The sequence below is a fragment of the Homo sapiens genome, chromosome 17 (assembly GCF_000001405.40).
Source record: "Homo sapiens chromosome 17, GRCh38.p14 Primary Assembly".
In the NCBI taxonomy this organism is placed as follows: Eukaryota; Metazoa; Chordata; class Mammalia; order Primates; family Hominidae; genus Homo; species Homo sapiens.
The window spans coordinates 2,647,814-2,661,902 of NC_000017.11; the positions used below are offsets into that span (position 1 = coordinate 2,647,814).

Below are 14,089 nucleotides of genomic sequence, written 5' to 3' on the forward strand. Positions count from 1 at the left end.
CTAACACAGTGAAACTCCGTCTCTACTAAAAATACAAAAAATTAGCCGGGCATGGTGGCGGGCGCCTTTAGTTCCAGCTACTCGGGAGGCTGAGGCAGGAGAATGGGGTGAACCCGGGAGGCAGAGTTTGCAGTGATCCGAGATCATGCCGCTGCACTCCAGTCTGGGCAACAGAGTGAGACTCTCTCAAAATAAATAAATAAATAAATAAATAAAGGAAAGAGGTTTAATTGACTCACAGTTCAACATGGCTGGCAGGCCTCAGGAAAGTTAAAATAATGACAGAAGGGGAAGCACACGTCGTCCTTCACATAGTGGCAGAAAGGAGAAGAATGAGAGACGAGTGAAGGGGGAAGCCCCTTATTAAGCCATTAGATCTCATGAGAGCTTACTATCATGAGAACAGCATGGGGGAACCACCACCATGATCCAGTTACCTTCCACCGGGTCCCTCCCACCACACGTGGGGATTATGGGACCTACAATTCAAGATGAGGTTTGGGTGGGGACACAGCCAAACCCTATCACCAAGTATAATTTTTCCCGTGATTACAAGGTTGGTTCAACATTAAGAAATTTATGGCCGGGCATGGTGGCTCACACCTGTAATCCCAGCACTTTGGGAAGCCAAAGTGGGTGGATCACTTGAGGTCAAGAGTTCAAGACCAGCCTGGCCAACATGGTGAAACCCCATACCTACTAAAAATACAAAAAAATAGCCGGGTGTGGTGGCACACACCTGTAGCCCCAGCTAATTGGGAGGCTGAGGTGGGAGACTCTCATGAGCCCAGGGGGCAGAGGTTGCAGTGACCTGAGATCGTGCCATTGCACTCCATGCTGGGCAACAGAGTGAGACTCTGTCTCAAAAAAAAAAAAAAAAGTGAAACACCATATGATTAACCCAAAATATAGAAAATGGTGTATTTTTAATACCCATTCCTGATGGTTAAAAAAAAAAAACCCTGTAGAAAATAACAGGATATTTTCTTAACTTGATTATGGCTACCTACCAGAAATTTACAACAAACATTAAAATATAAATACTAGGTGCATTCCCATTAAAGTCAGCAAGAAACTAAGAGTTCCTGTGTCTCTGCATCTATTTCAGTATATATTTGAGATTCCAGCTCATGTAGTAAGGCAACAGAAAGAATTAGAACTATTGGAAAGGAAGCAGCCAAACATTTATAGGTGACAGCATCTACAGAGCCAACCTAAGGGAATCAACAATTACAATTAATGGTTTCAGGGCCAGGTGGGGGTGGCTCACACCTGTAACCCGAGCACTTTGGGATGTCGAGGCTGAGACAGGAGGATTGCTTGAAACTGGGAGGCAGAGGCTGCAGTGAGGCGAGATCATGCCACTGCACTCCAGCCTGGGCAACAAAGCAAGACTGTCTCAAAAAAAAAAAAAAAAAATTAATGGGTTTAGTATGGTAACCTGAAACAAGATGGCATACAAAAATAAACTCTTCCTGGCCAGGTGCAGTGGCTCACACCTTTAATCCCAGCATTTTGGAAGGCCGAGGCGGGTGAATCACCTAAGATAAGGAGTTCAAGACCAGCCTGGCCAATATGACGAAACCCCATCTCTACTAAAAATACAAAAATCTAGCCAGCCGTGGTGGTGCGCGCCTGTAGTCCCACATACTTGGGAGGCTGAGGCAGGAGGATCGCTTGAACCTGGGAGGCGGGGAGGTTGCAGTGAGCGGATGTCGTGCCACTGCACTCCAGCCTGGGCAACAGTAAGACTCCGTCTCAAAATAAATAAATAATAAACTGTTCTTGTTGTTGGATAATATAGTAGAAAAGATTTTCCTTGTTTCTGGATGAAAAAGTCAGTATTGGACAGATATCACAACTCTTAAAATAATAAAATTAAATGCAATCCCAATCAAAATTCAAACTAAATTTCTCATTAACTTGACCAGCTTGATCTTAAAAATCATTTGGAAGAGAAAAATAAATAAAATATTTTAAATGATAAATGGGAAAGCACCTGAATCTATCAGATATACAAATATTATTGTAAAATGTGGAATAGACAAATAGGTTAGGGGAACAAAGTTCAAAGACATGCCCATTTATGAAATTTAGCATGGGATAAGGTGGTATTAAAAGCCTTAATGTTGAACACATACAGAATAACAGTATAAAGTGGTAGAGAAAATATACCCTTTGGGTAGAGGTGGACTTCCTCAAGGTATAAAATGTAGAAACAAAAGGAAGACTGGTAAGTTTGACTGTATCAAAATAGAAAACTTCTGTGTGAAGAAAGGCCTCAAAACAGGCCAGGCACTGTGGCTTAGGCCTGGAATCCCTGCGCTTTGGGAGGCCAAGGAGTTTGAGATCGGCCTGGGCAACGTAGGTGCAAGATTTTATCTTTACAAAAAATTGATTTAAAAAATAGTCTGGCAGCCAGGTGCAGTGGCTCACGCCTGTAATCCCAACACTTTGGGAGGCCGAGGCGGGTGGATCACTTGAGGTCAGGAGTTCAAGACCAGCTTGGACAACATGGCAAAACCCCATCTCTACTGAAAATACGAACATTAGCCAGACGTGGCGGTGTGCACCTGTAATCCCAGCTACTCAGGAGGCTGAGACAGGAGAATCACTTGAACCCGGGAGCTGGAGGTTGCAGTGAGCCGAGACTGCACCACTGCACTCCAGCCTGGGTGACAGAGCAAGACTCCATCTAAAAAAAAAAAAAAAATACAGGGATGTCGGCGCAGTCTTGGGACCTACCTGGGAGGCCTCAGTGGGAGGATCCTGGGAGGTCTTGCGCCACTGCACTCCAGCCTGGGTGACAGAGCAAGACTCTGTCTCAAAAAAAAAAAAAAAAAAAAAGGAAGTTAATTGAAAAAATCAAATTTTATGTGGGTATATAAAAGTAATCCCACAATTTATAGAAATATTTTCTTTAAAATTATTGTGAGTTCTAACCATTTTTTTGTGTGTGTATAATGCCATTCTCTTCCTCTGTGAAGTGCCTGTTCGGGGTGTTGCTACGTTTTTGTTTTGTTGTGTTTTCTGTTGTAGTGTTTACATTTTTCTTGTCGATTCCTAAGAGGACTTTAGGGTACTGAGTCACCCATGGTCATGTGTTGCAGAGAAGTGTCACAGAGTGAAAACTGTCTTTTCCTTGATACTACCTTTAGATTCATATTTGGGAAGACCTTCGCTAATCATGACTACATAAGTATTCACTTTTACTTTCTTAAGACCTTTTTGTTTTCATTTCTTTTTATAGTAATGTCTAAGCCATCTGGAATTTATGTTTGTTGATTATGCAAGAAAGGGATCGAAGTGCTTTTTCTGAGTCATTATCCACATGCCGAAACATTTATTGAATAGCCCTTTCCTTATTGATCTGAAAACACCTTCTTATAAAACCTTGCATTGGTTTTTGGACTTGCTGTGCTTTCAGGAGTCAGAAGAACATTCTTTTGATTATTGTAGCTTTACATTAATAATACATTTTGGCCGGGTGCGGTGGCTCACGTATGTAATCCTAGCATTTTGGGAGACTGAGGCAGGCGGAACACCTGAGGTCAGGGGTTCAAGACCAGACTGGCCAACATGGCAAAACCCCGTCTCTACAAAAAAAAAAAAAAAAAAAAATTAGCTGGGCATGGTGGTGCCTGCCTGAAATCCCAGCTACTTTGGGAGGCTGAGGCAGGAGAACCTCTTGAGCCTGGGAGGTAGAGGCTGCAGTGAGCCGAGCTTGCACCACTGCACTCCAACTTGGGTAACAGAGTGAGACTCCATCTCAAAAAAAAAAAAAAGAAAAATACATTTCAATATGAGGTAATAAATTCTCCTAAATTTTTTGTTTTGTAAACCTCCTTGCTTCTCTTAAATTATTTTCCCAAAAAGCCTTAAGTGTTTTCCGTAGTAATTTTGATTTGGGAATGGAGTGAGTGACTTGGTAGAGGGTGCCATATGCCTTTTTGCCTTTCCCCAGTTTCCCCTACTGTTAACATCTCACATTTATGTGGTGTATTTATTATAATTGATGAGCCAACATTGACACATTATTACTGAAGTCCATAGTTGACATTAGGGTTTACTCTTTTTGTTGTATATTCTGTTGGTTTTGACAAATGCCTAATGTTATATATCCATCAGTCATACAGAATAAATTCACTGCCCTAAAAATCTCAGCCTCCCCCTATTCATCCTTCCCTGCCTCCCTAAACCCCTCATATTTTTACTGTTAACCATAGTTTTGTCTTTTCCAGAAAATTACAATTATATAGCTTGTATCCTTTTCAGATTGGCTGCTTTGACTTAACAATATGTACTTAACATTTCTAGGCCAGACACAGTGGCTCACGCCTGTAATCCCACACTTTGGGAGGCCAAGGCGGGCAAATCACGAGGTCAGGAGATCGAGACCATCCTGGCTAACACGGTGAAACCCCGTCTCTACTAAAAATACAAAAAAAAAAATTGGCCGGGCGTGGTGGCGGGTGCCTGTAGTCCCAGCTACTCGGGAGGCTGAGGCAGGAGAATGGCGTGAACCCGGGAGGCGGAGCTTGCAGTGAGCCAAGATCGCGCCACTGCACTCCAGCCTGGGCGGCAGAGCGAGACTCCGTCTCAAACAAAACAAAACAAAAACCAAAAACATTTCTCCATGTGTTTTCATGACTGTGATATATTTTTAAGCATTTTTGTTGTTGTTTACTTTATTGCTTTAAAAAACTGACTTTTGCAGTTAGTTGAGGTCCTGAGGTTTCTCCTGTGAATCTGTTTGAACATCATATATATTTGGCATTGATTGGAAAGCGGTTTTTCCCTGGCCTGTGTGAAATACACTGAAGGTCTGCACCTGCCCGCGCACTTCACGTTGTACATGGGAATGTACTATAGCTGCACATGTTCATGTAGTGGCGTTAGATGCCAAATAGTTCTAGGGCTTAGTTTAAGATTGGGTACTTTTTGTCAGGAAACAACAGGTGCTGGAGAGGATTTGGAGAAATAGGAACACTTTTGCACTGTTGGTGGGACTGTAAACTAGTTCAACCGTTATGGAAGTCAGTGTGGCGATTCCTCAGGGATCTAGAACTGGAAATATCATTTGACCCAGCCATCCCATTACTGGGTATATATACCCAAAGGATTATAAATCATGCTGCTATAAAGACACATGCACACATATGTTTATTGTGGCACTGTTCACAATAGCAAAGACTTGGAACCAACCCAGATGTCCAACAACGATAGACTGGATTAAGAAAATGTGGTACATATACATCGTGGAATACTATGCAGCCATAAAAAAGGATGAGTTTGTGCCCTTTATAGGGACATGGATGAAGCTGGAAACCATCATTCTCAGCAAACTATTGCAGGGACAAAAAACCAAACACCACATGTTCTCACTCATAGGTGGGAATTGAACAATGAGAACAGCTGGACACAGGAAGGGGAACATCACACACCAGGGCCTGTCGTGAGGTGAGGGGAGAGGGGAGGGATAGCATTAGGAGATATACCTAATGTAAATGACGAGTTAATGGGTGCAGCACACCAACATGGCACATGTATACATATGTAACAAACCTGCACGTTGTGCACATGTACCCTAGAACTTAAAAGTATTAAAAAAAAAAAAGATTTGGGTACTTTTTGCCTGACTTTGTGATCTATAATAAGGCATGAAAGTAATTTTTAGATCTTGTTAGTGACTCAGCTTTCAAACAGGTATTTTCCACTCCTTTTTAAATCTTCTGGCTCAGTTTAATTGAAGAATACTCTGAGACTGCAAGTTGAGCTGTTTAAATCCAGGGACTGTTTGCACTGTTTACCTGTGTGAATTTGAATTTTGTTAATATAGGGCAACAAAAACAAAGTACACGAATGAATTTGGATAGTAAGGTTGAAATAAGACTATAACTATAATCTAAATTTCAGATGGTTATATTTATAAAAACAGCTATATATTTTCATTGATTGTCAAAGTAACTATACATTTTTTATTTTTATTTTTTAAATTTATTATTATTTTTGAAACCGAGTCTTATACTCTGTTGCCCAGGCTGGAGTACAGTGGCGCAATCTCGGCTTACTGCAACCTCCACCTCCTGGGTTCACGTGATTCTCCTGCCTCAGCCTCCCAAGTAGCTGGGATTACAGGCGCGTGCCACCATGCCCGGTTAATTTTTTCTATTTTTAGTAGGAACAGGTTTCACCATGTTAGCCAGGATGGTCTCAATCTCCTGACCTGGTGATACACCCGCCTCGGCCTCCAAAAGTGCTGGGATTACAGGCGTGAGCCACCATGCCCGGCCAGTCACTATACATTTAAATATAAACTATTTAATATGCTGCTTCTATCCAGCTTACATGTTGAGGTCCCTGTTGTCTTTTAAACCTTTTTTTTTTTTTTTTTAAAGACAGTTTTGCTCTTATCGCCTAGGCTGAAGTGCAATGGTGCTGTCTTGGCTCACTGCAACCCCTGTCTCCCAGGTTCAATCAATTCTCCTGCCTCAACCTCCTGAATAGCTGGGATTACAGGCACGCACCATCACTCCCAGCTAATTTTTGTATTTTTAGTTTCACCATGTTGGCCAGGCTGGTCTCAAACTGACCTCAGGTGATCGCCCGCCTCAGCCTCTCAAAGTGTTGGGATTACAGGCATGAGCCACTCCACTCGGTCTGTCTTTTCAACTTTAAAAGTTTGATAATGATGGAATCTATAATCATATTGTCTATATTTTCACTTTCTATGCAGTGACGGTTGTTTCTAATTATTGCCTTAAGGTAAAAAATTAAAAAGGCCCTCTGAGTCTTCAGAGGAGGATTAAAATATTCTCAGTTTGTGTTAGTTTTTGTTTGTTTTTTGAGATAGTGTCTGGCTCTGTTACCGAGGCTGGAGTGCAGTGGCTCAATCTCAGTTCACTGCAGCCTCCGCCTCCCGGGCTCAAACCATCCTCTCACCTCAGCCTCCCAAGTTGTTGGGACTACAGGTGTGTGCCACCATGCCTAGCTAATTTTTCTATTTTTTATAGAGACAGATTTTTGCCATGTTGCCCAGGCTGGTCTTGAACTCCTGGGCTCAAGCAGTCTGCCTGCCTCAGCCTCTCGAAGTGCTGGAATTACAGGTGTGAGCCACCCTGCGTGGCTTTTTTTTTTCTTCTTTTTTTTTTTTTTAAAAGAGACAGGGTTCAGGCTGGAGTAGTGCAATGGCATGATCATAGCTCATAACTCTGGGGCTCAAACAATCCTCCCGCATTGGCCTTTCAAAGTGCTGGGATTACAGGTGTGAGCCACCATGCCCAGCTTGTGTTAGATTTTTTTATTCTTTGGAAATTTTTGATTTCCAGAATGAAATTGCTGATCATTTAAAAAATATATATATACATATATGTGTGTGTGTGTGTGTGTGTGTGTGTGTGTGTTTATAAGAGTGAAATGTAGGCATCTATAAAGATGATCAAGATATGATCAAGGTCAAAATTGTTGACTTTCTGGAGAATTCATACAAAGCCCTTTTACATACCACATCACATTGCATTTCACTGAAAGATGGAGGGTATTCTAGAGAATTGTATTAGAAAGAGAAGACACATCGTAGGCCAGGCACAGTGGCTCACTTCTGTAATCCCAGCACCTTGGGAGGCCGAAGCAGGTGGATCACCTGAAGTCAGGAATTCAACATCAGCCTGACCAACATGGAGAAAACATGTCTCCACTAAAAATATAAAAATTAGCTGGGTGTGGTGGCACATGCCTGGTAATCCCAGCTACTCCGGAGGCAGAGGTTGCAATAAGCTGAGATTGTGCCACAGCCCTCCAGCCTAGGTGACATGGCAAGACCCTGTCTCAAGAAAGAGAAAACACATCACAGAAGAGGAAGGGAGATTCTTTTGTAGTTGCTACGTGTGACGACAGGGTGTTCACACACATGTGTAAGATGTACCACCCTCCAGCCTTGTTACAATGTCGTCACATTACCCGACCGATGTGAAAAAAAAAAAAATAGAAGAGGAAAGCAGTGCCACAAATACAGGAAACTACATTGAGAAAGTTATATGCTGAGTAGCTTCTATTTTCTGTGTGGAGTTGGAGGTCAGCTGAAGGATGGGATGCAATTAGGTGGTTTTCGTTTTGTTTTGTTTGTTTTGAGACTGAGTCTCCATCTGTCACCCAGGCTGGAGTGCAGTGGCACGATCTCGGCTCACTGCAACCTCCGCCCCTGGGTTCAAGTGATTCTCCTGCTTCAGCCTCCCAAGTGACTGAGACTACAGACATCTGCCACCACGCCCGGCTAATTTTTTTTGTATTTTTAGTAGAGACGGGGTTTCACTATGTTGGCCAGGCTGGTCTCGAACTCCTAACCTCGTGATCTGCCCGCCTCAGCCTCCCAAAGTGCTGGGATTACAGGCGTGAGCCACTGCGCCTGGCCACAATTAGCTATTTAAAAGGGAAAAAAGGACCAGTCTAGACAACATATTGAGACCCTATCTCTACTTTAAAAAAAAATTAACCCATCATGGTGGCATGTGCCTGTAGTTCCAGCTACTCAGGAGGCTGAAGCAGGAGGATCCATTGAGCCCAGGAGCTTGAGGATGCAGTGAGCCATGATTGTGCCACAGCACTCCAGCTTGGGTGACAGAGCAAGACCTCATCTTTTTTTTTTTTCAAAGAGTGAGGAAAGGGGCCCGGGACAAGTAAATGATTCATCAGGTGGCAGTGAATGACTACCATATACTATGACTTGACCTATCCTAATTCTAAAAATATAAATACATTATTAGCAGTATTGTAGATAATTGAATATCCTGCTCTTCAGTGCAGAGTAAAAACTGCTCCATCAACAATTGGAAGCTATATTTAATCAGATAATTCTGGGGATGCCTATTATGAATATGACCTGATTTTAAGGGATCTTCATTGTTTTTTAGGGCTTGACTTACTATACAGTGGTCTTCCTTTGTTTAGTTTGCTGTTTCATGTAATCTGCCTGTATACTTCTGACACTTCTGATAAATAGGTCTTTTAAAATTACTGTTTTCATTCAATTGCTTTTTCTTGCCTTGAATGTCCTACATAGTCTGTTTCTGTTTCTAGCCATTTCTCTCATTATTTTAATGCCACCTGATTTAGAGCAGTTTTTTTTTTGAGACAGAGTCTCGCTCTGTAGCCCAGGCTGGAGTGCAGTGGCGCAGCCTGGGCCCACTGCAAGCTGCGCCTCTCAGGTTCACGCCATTCTCCTGCCTCAGCTTCACTAGAGCAGTTTTAAGTAATAGGAATGATTATAGCATCTTTGCCTTGTTCTTTGACACAAGTGTTTCTAGTGTTCTGCCATTAACTATTAGATTTATTGGTTGAAGGTTTGAGAGATTTCTTTTTTCCTGATGTTAATGAACATTCTTAATGAAGACCTTTCCGTTAATGAGGAATGTTTAAAAATCAAGAATGTTGAATTTGTTTCTGTTTTTTGAGACAAGAGTCTCACTGTGTCACCCAGGCTGTAAGGCAGTGGCGCCATCTTGGCTCACTGCAATACTCCACCTCCCAGGTTCAAGTGATTCTCCTGCCTCAGCCTCCCAAGTAGCTGGGATTACAGGTGTCCACCGCCGTGCCCGGCTAATATTGTATTTTTAGTAGAGCTGAGGTTTCACCATGTTGGCCAGGCTGGTCTCAAACTCCTGACCTCAAGTGATCCACCCACCTCAGTCTCCCAAAGTGGTGGGATTACAGGCGTGAGCTACCACGCCTGGCCAAGAATGTTGAATTTGATCAGATGTTTTTAGGTAAACATTGAGATCTCCATAATGTACCATTCTGATTCACTTGGTCCAGCTCAGCTCCCTGCCTAGGTAATACTTACTATTTCCTTTAAGTCCTCGCATCTCGCCTTTATAAAAAGATTCTTCCATTCAGTCTCATTTCTCTCGTCTTTGAATTAAATTTCATAGACTTCAGTAGCTTTTATTTTGCTCCTCAGATAGGTTTACAAGATCCTAGGAGGCAAGGGACCATATATAACTTAACCTTCTTTTATATTCCTTGGTATAAAACTGGAAATAACAAGCACTCATCCCTTCTTCCTCTTTCCTTTTTTCTTTACATGTTTTATAGTGAAATTTTGCTTTACATTTTAAAAATATAAATGTTTCAAACTATTCAATACATGACAGTTGTATTGTGTATCTTTCCTATTGTACAACCTGACTTTGCCTTATGAGTTTTTGAAATAATGCAAAATATTTTTATAGGAATATATCCTGAGTGGATCTCACAGTTGTAAATTATGCTGAACAACTAAGGCAAAATCTCCTCCTCTCTGGAAACGTAGCTGACCTCTGGCCTGTAGCAGGCCATGCAGTTTTTTTCTAAGTGTCAGTCAATAATATAGTAACTTTAAAACAACATAATTAGGAGTTCAGCTGGGTTAGTGTGACATTCTCTCTCCCTCTCCCCCAACCCCCTTTCTCTCTTAGACCTTTAAGTATTTTAGTTTTCAGTAATGTTATTTTTCTTAACAGGTTAAAAGGGTAAAGAGGGAAACACAGATAAATAAGGGTGGAGGCTGAAAACAACTGTTTAGTGACTGCCCTCTGTTTTGTGTTTCCATTACTCAAGAAATTTAATCGAAATACGAGAATGAACAGTAATGCATATTTTTTGTTTATTTATTTGGTTTTGCTTTTTAAAAAGTGCAGTGTGATATACTTAACTGGTAGATCATTTTTGGCTTTTGTTGCAACTGTGGGCTGGAGGGTATATCAGGATGTCATCTGAGACCCAGCCGTCTGATGAAAAGAAATGGAATCGAGCAGGCTAGTATACTGGGTACAGGGTTCTTTTTGCTTGATGGGGAAGATAAAGGTCCACTCACCCTGCATTGCCTGAATTACATTCTTCTTCACTTTGTCTCTGCCATGGATAAGGTCTCATTATAACCTCTTGCTGAACTTGTACTTGTCCTAAGACTGGTAGTAGTTAAATCCTGAACTACCTTTTGGAAGTAGTTATCTTAGAATGTGATGGTGAAGGATGGTAATGGCAATCAATTTGTCAGACAGATTTCTTAGGGTACGTGAGGTTGGAGAAGTATAAGACCTATGGCCAGGAACTCATCACATCTGTGCTGCCCTTTCCCTGAAGAGTCAGTAGGGTATTGTAGCATAAAAGTTTAGGAAGTCTTGGCTGGACACAGTGGCTCACACCTGTAATCCCAGCACTTTGGGCCAAGGTGGACGAATCACTTGAGATCATGAATTCAAGACCACCCTGGCCAACATGGCAAAACCCCGTCTCTACTAAAAATACAAAAATTAGCTGGGCCTAATGGCACGTGCCTGTAGTCTCAGCTTCTCAGGAGGCTGAGGCAGGAGAATCGCTTGAACCCAGGAGGGGGAGGTTGCAGTGAGCCGAGATTGCCACACTGCAGCCTGGATGACAGAATAAGACTCCGTTTCAAAAAAAAAAAGGCCAGGTACAGTGGCCCACGCCTGTTATCCCAGCACTTTGGGAGGCCAAGGCGGGCGGATCACAAGGTCAAGAGATCGAGACCATCCTTGCCAATATGGTGAAACCCCGTCTCTGCTAAAAATGCAAAAATTAGCTGGGCATGGTGGCACACGCCTGTAGTCCCAGCTACTCGGGAGGCTGAGCCAGGAGAATCGTGAGGTTGTGGTGAGCTGAGATTGTGCCACTGCATTCCAGCCTGGCGACAGAGTGAGACTGCCTCGCCAAAAAAAAAAAAAAAAAAAAAGGAAGCCTTGGCTGGGCGTGGTGGCTGATGACTGTAATCCCAGCACTGGGAGGCCAAGGCAGTCAGGTCACATGAGGCCAGGAGTTTGAGACCAGCCTAGCCAACACAGTGAAACCCCGTCTCCACTAAAAATATTAAAAAAAAAATTAGCTGGGCATGGTGGTGCTCACCTGTAATCCCAGCTACTCAGGAGGCTGAGGCATGAGAATCACTTGAACTCAGGAAACAGGCTTCAGTGAGCCGAGATCATGCCACTGCACTCCAGCCTGGGTGACAGAGTGAGACTCCGTTTCAAAAAAAAATTAGGAAGCCTTGTTACCTGTTTGAGACTTGATTGATATCCTGTGGCTGCAGCTTAGGGAATGATCCCCTGTATATCTCTGCCCTGGAAATAAATTTTAATCACATTCTCTCCCAAGACTATATAGTTTCATCTTGTTATCTAAAACAGTATAGCCCGGGGTGGTGTGAGAGATGTCTTTTGGAGGAGGGTACTAAGGATGACTCCATGTGTGCTTCTGGTGGTGTCATGCTTGATACTGCCTGGTCTTTTGTGTTACCTTCCCAGAGCCTTCAACAGCCCTGCAGACATCTCAGATTTGTTGGGCCCCTGGACCTTTTAGAGGAATGCATGTTATCTCCATTGCTGCCCTGAATATGCAAGCTTAGCCTTTTCAGTGTATCTTTTTTTTTTTTTAATTTTTATTTTACTTTAAGTTCCGGGATACATGTGCAGAATGTGCAGGTTTGTTACATAGGTAAATGTGTGCCATGGTGGTTTGCTGCACCTATCAAGTCATCACCTAGGTTTTAAGCTCCACACGCATTAGCTATTTGTCCTGATGCTCTCCCTCCCCTCAACCCCCACCCCCACCAACAGGCCCGGGTGTGTGTTGTTCCCCTCCCTGTGGTCCATGTGTTCTCATTGTTCAACTCCCAGTTATGCGTGAGAGCATGCGGTGCTTGGTTTTCTGTTCCTGTGTTAGTCTGCTGAGGATGGTGGCTTCTAGCTTCATCCATGTCGCCACAAAGGACATGATCTCATTCCTTTTTATGGCTGCATAGTATTCCATGGTGTATGTGTACCACATTTTCTTTATCCAGTCTGTCATTGATAGGCATTTGGGTTGGTTCCATGTCTTTGCTGTTGTAAATAGTGCTGCAGTAAACATGTGTGCATGTGTCTTTATAGCAAAATGATTTATATTCCTTTGGGTATATACCCAGTAATGGGATTGCTGGGTCAAATGGTATTTCTGCTTCTAGATTCTTGAGGAATCACCACACTATCTTCCATGATGGTTGAACTAATTTATATTCCCACCAATCGTGTAAAAGCATTCCTATTTCTCCACAGCCTTGCCAGCATCTTTCGTTTCTTGACTTTATAATAATCGCCATTCTGACTGGTGTGAGATAGTATCTCATTGTGGTTTTGATTTGCATTTCTCTAATGATCAGTGATGTTGAGCTTTTTTTCATATGTTTTTTGGCCACATAAATGTCTTCTTTTGAGAAGTGTCTGTTCATATCCTTTGCCCACTTTTTGATGGTTTTTTTTTCCCGTTCTGTAGGTTGCATGTTCACTCTGATGATAGTTTATTTTGCTGTGCAGAAACTCTTGAGTTTAATTAGATCCCACTTGTCAATTTTAGCTTTTGATGCAGTTGCTTTTGGCATTTTCATCAAGAAATCTTTGCCCATGCCTGAATGGTATTGCCTAGGTTTTCTTCTAGGATTTTTATGGTTTTGGGTTTTACATGTAAGTCTTTAATCCATCTTGACTTATTTTTTGTATAAGGTGTAAGGAAGGGGTCCAGTTTCAGTTTTCTGCATATGGCTAACCAGTTTTTTGAGCACCATTTATTAATTAAGGAATCCTTTCCCCATTGCTTGTTTTTGTCAGGTTTGTTGAAGATCAGATGTTTGTAGATATGTGGTGTTATTTCTGAGGTCTCTGTTCTGTTCCCTTGGTCTGTGTGTCTGTTTTGGTACCAGTAGCATGCTGTTTTGGTTACTGTAGCCTTGTAGTATAGTTTGAAGTCAGGTAGTACGTGTGATGCCTCCAGCTTTGTTCTTTTTGCTTAGGATTGTCCTGGCTATTAGTGTATCTCTTTAAATGGGTCTAGTAAGAAAACATCTCAGTTCATCAGCCTTTGACTTAACCTTGTTTTTTCTTCATATGAGCAATGAAATTAAAATGGTTACGGAACTCTTAGAACTTTTTCATTCTTAGAATGCTAGAGTATACAGTTTGTAAAATACTATTATTGGCCAGGCGTGGTGGCTCATGTCTGTAATCCCAGCACTCTGGGAGGCTGACGTGATGAAACCCCATCTCTACAAAAAAATACAAAAAAT

General features: G+C 42.2%; 1 protein-coding gene and 1 non-coding gene across 9 annotated transcripts in view, besides 1 other annotated feature; both read left to right on the forward strand.

Annotated features, from left to right (window-relative positions):
- The window catches only part of PAFAH1B1 (platelet activating factor acetylhydrolase 1b regulatory subunit 1), a 92,433-nt gene that overhangs the window by 54,631 nt on the left and 23,713 nt on the right, over positions 1 to 14,089 (forward strand). The window lies entirely within an intron of this gene.
- Positions 7,866 to 7,969, forward strand: LOC124904127 (small nucleolar RNA U13). Its single transcript, XR_007066004.1, has one exon. It is a non-coding gene; the product is annotated as a small nucleolar RNA U13 (small nucleolar RNA).
- Positions 11,230 to 11,731: an enhancer, noted in NCBI's record as "H3K4me1 hESC enhancer chr17:2562337-2562838 (GRCh37/hg19 assembly coordinates)". NCBI's record gives its function as "activates a minimal SCP1, AML or CMV promoter by ChIP-STARR-seq in naive H9 embryonic stem cells {active_cell/tissue: H9 hESC(naive)}" and the evidence as "EXISTENCE:reporter gene assay evidence [ECO:0000049][PMID:30033119]".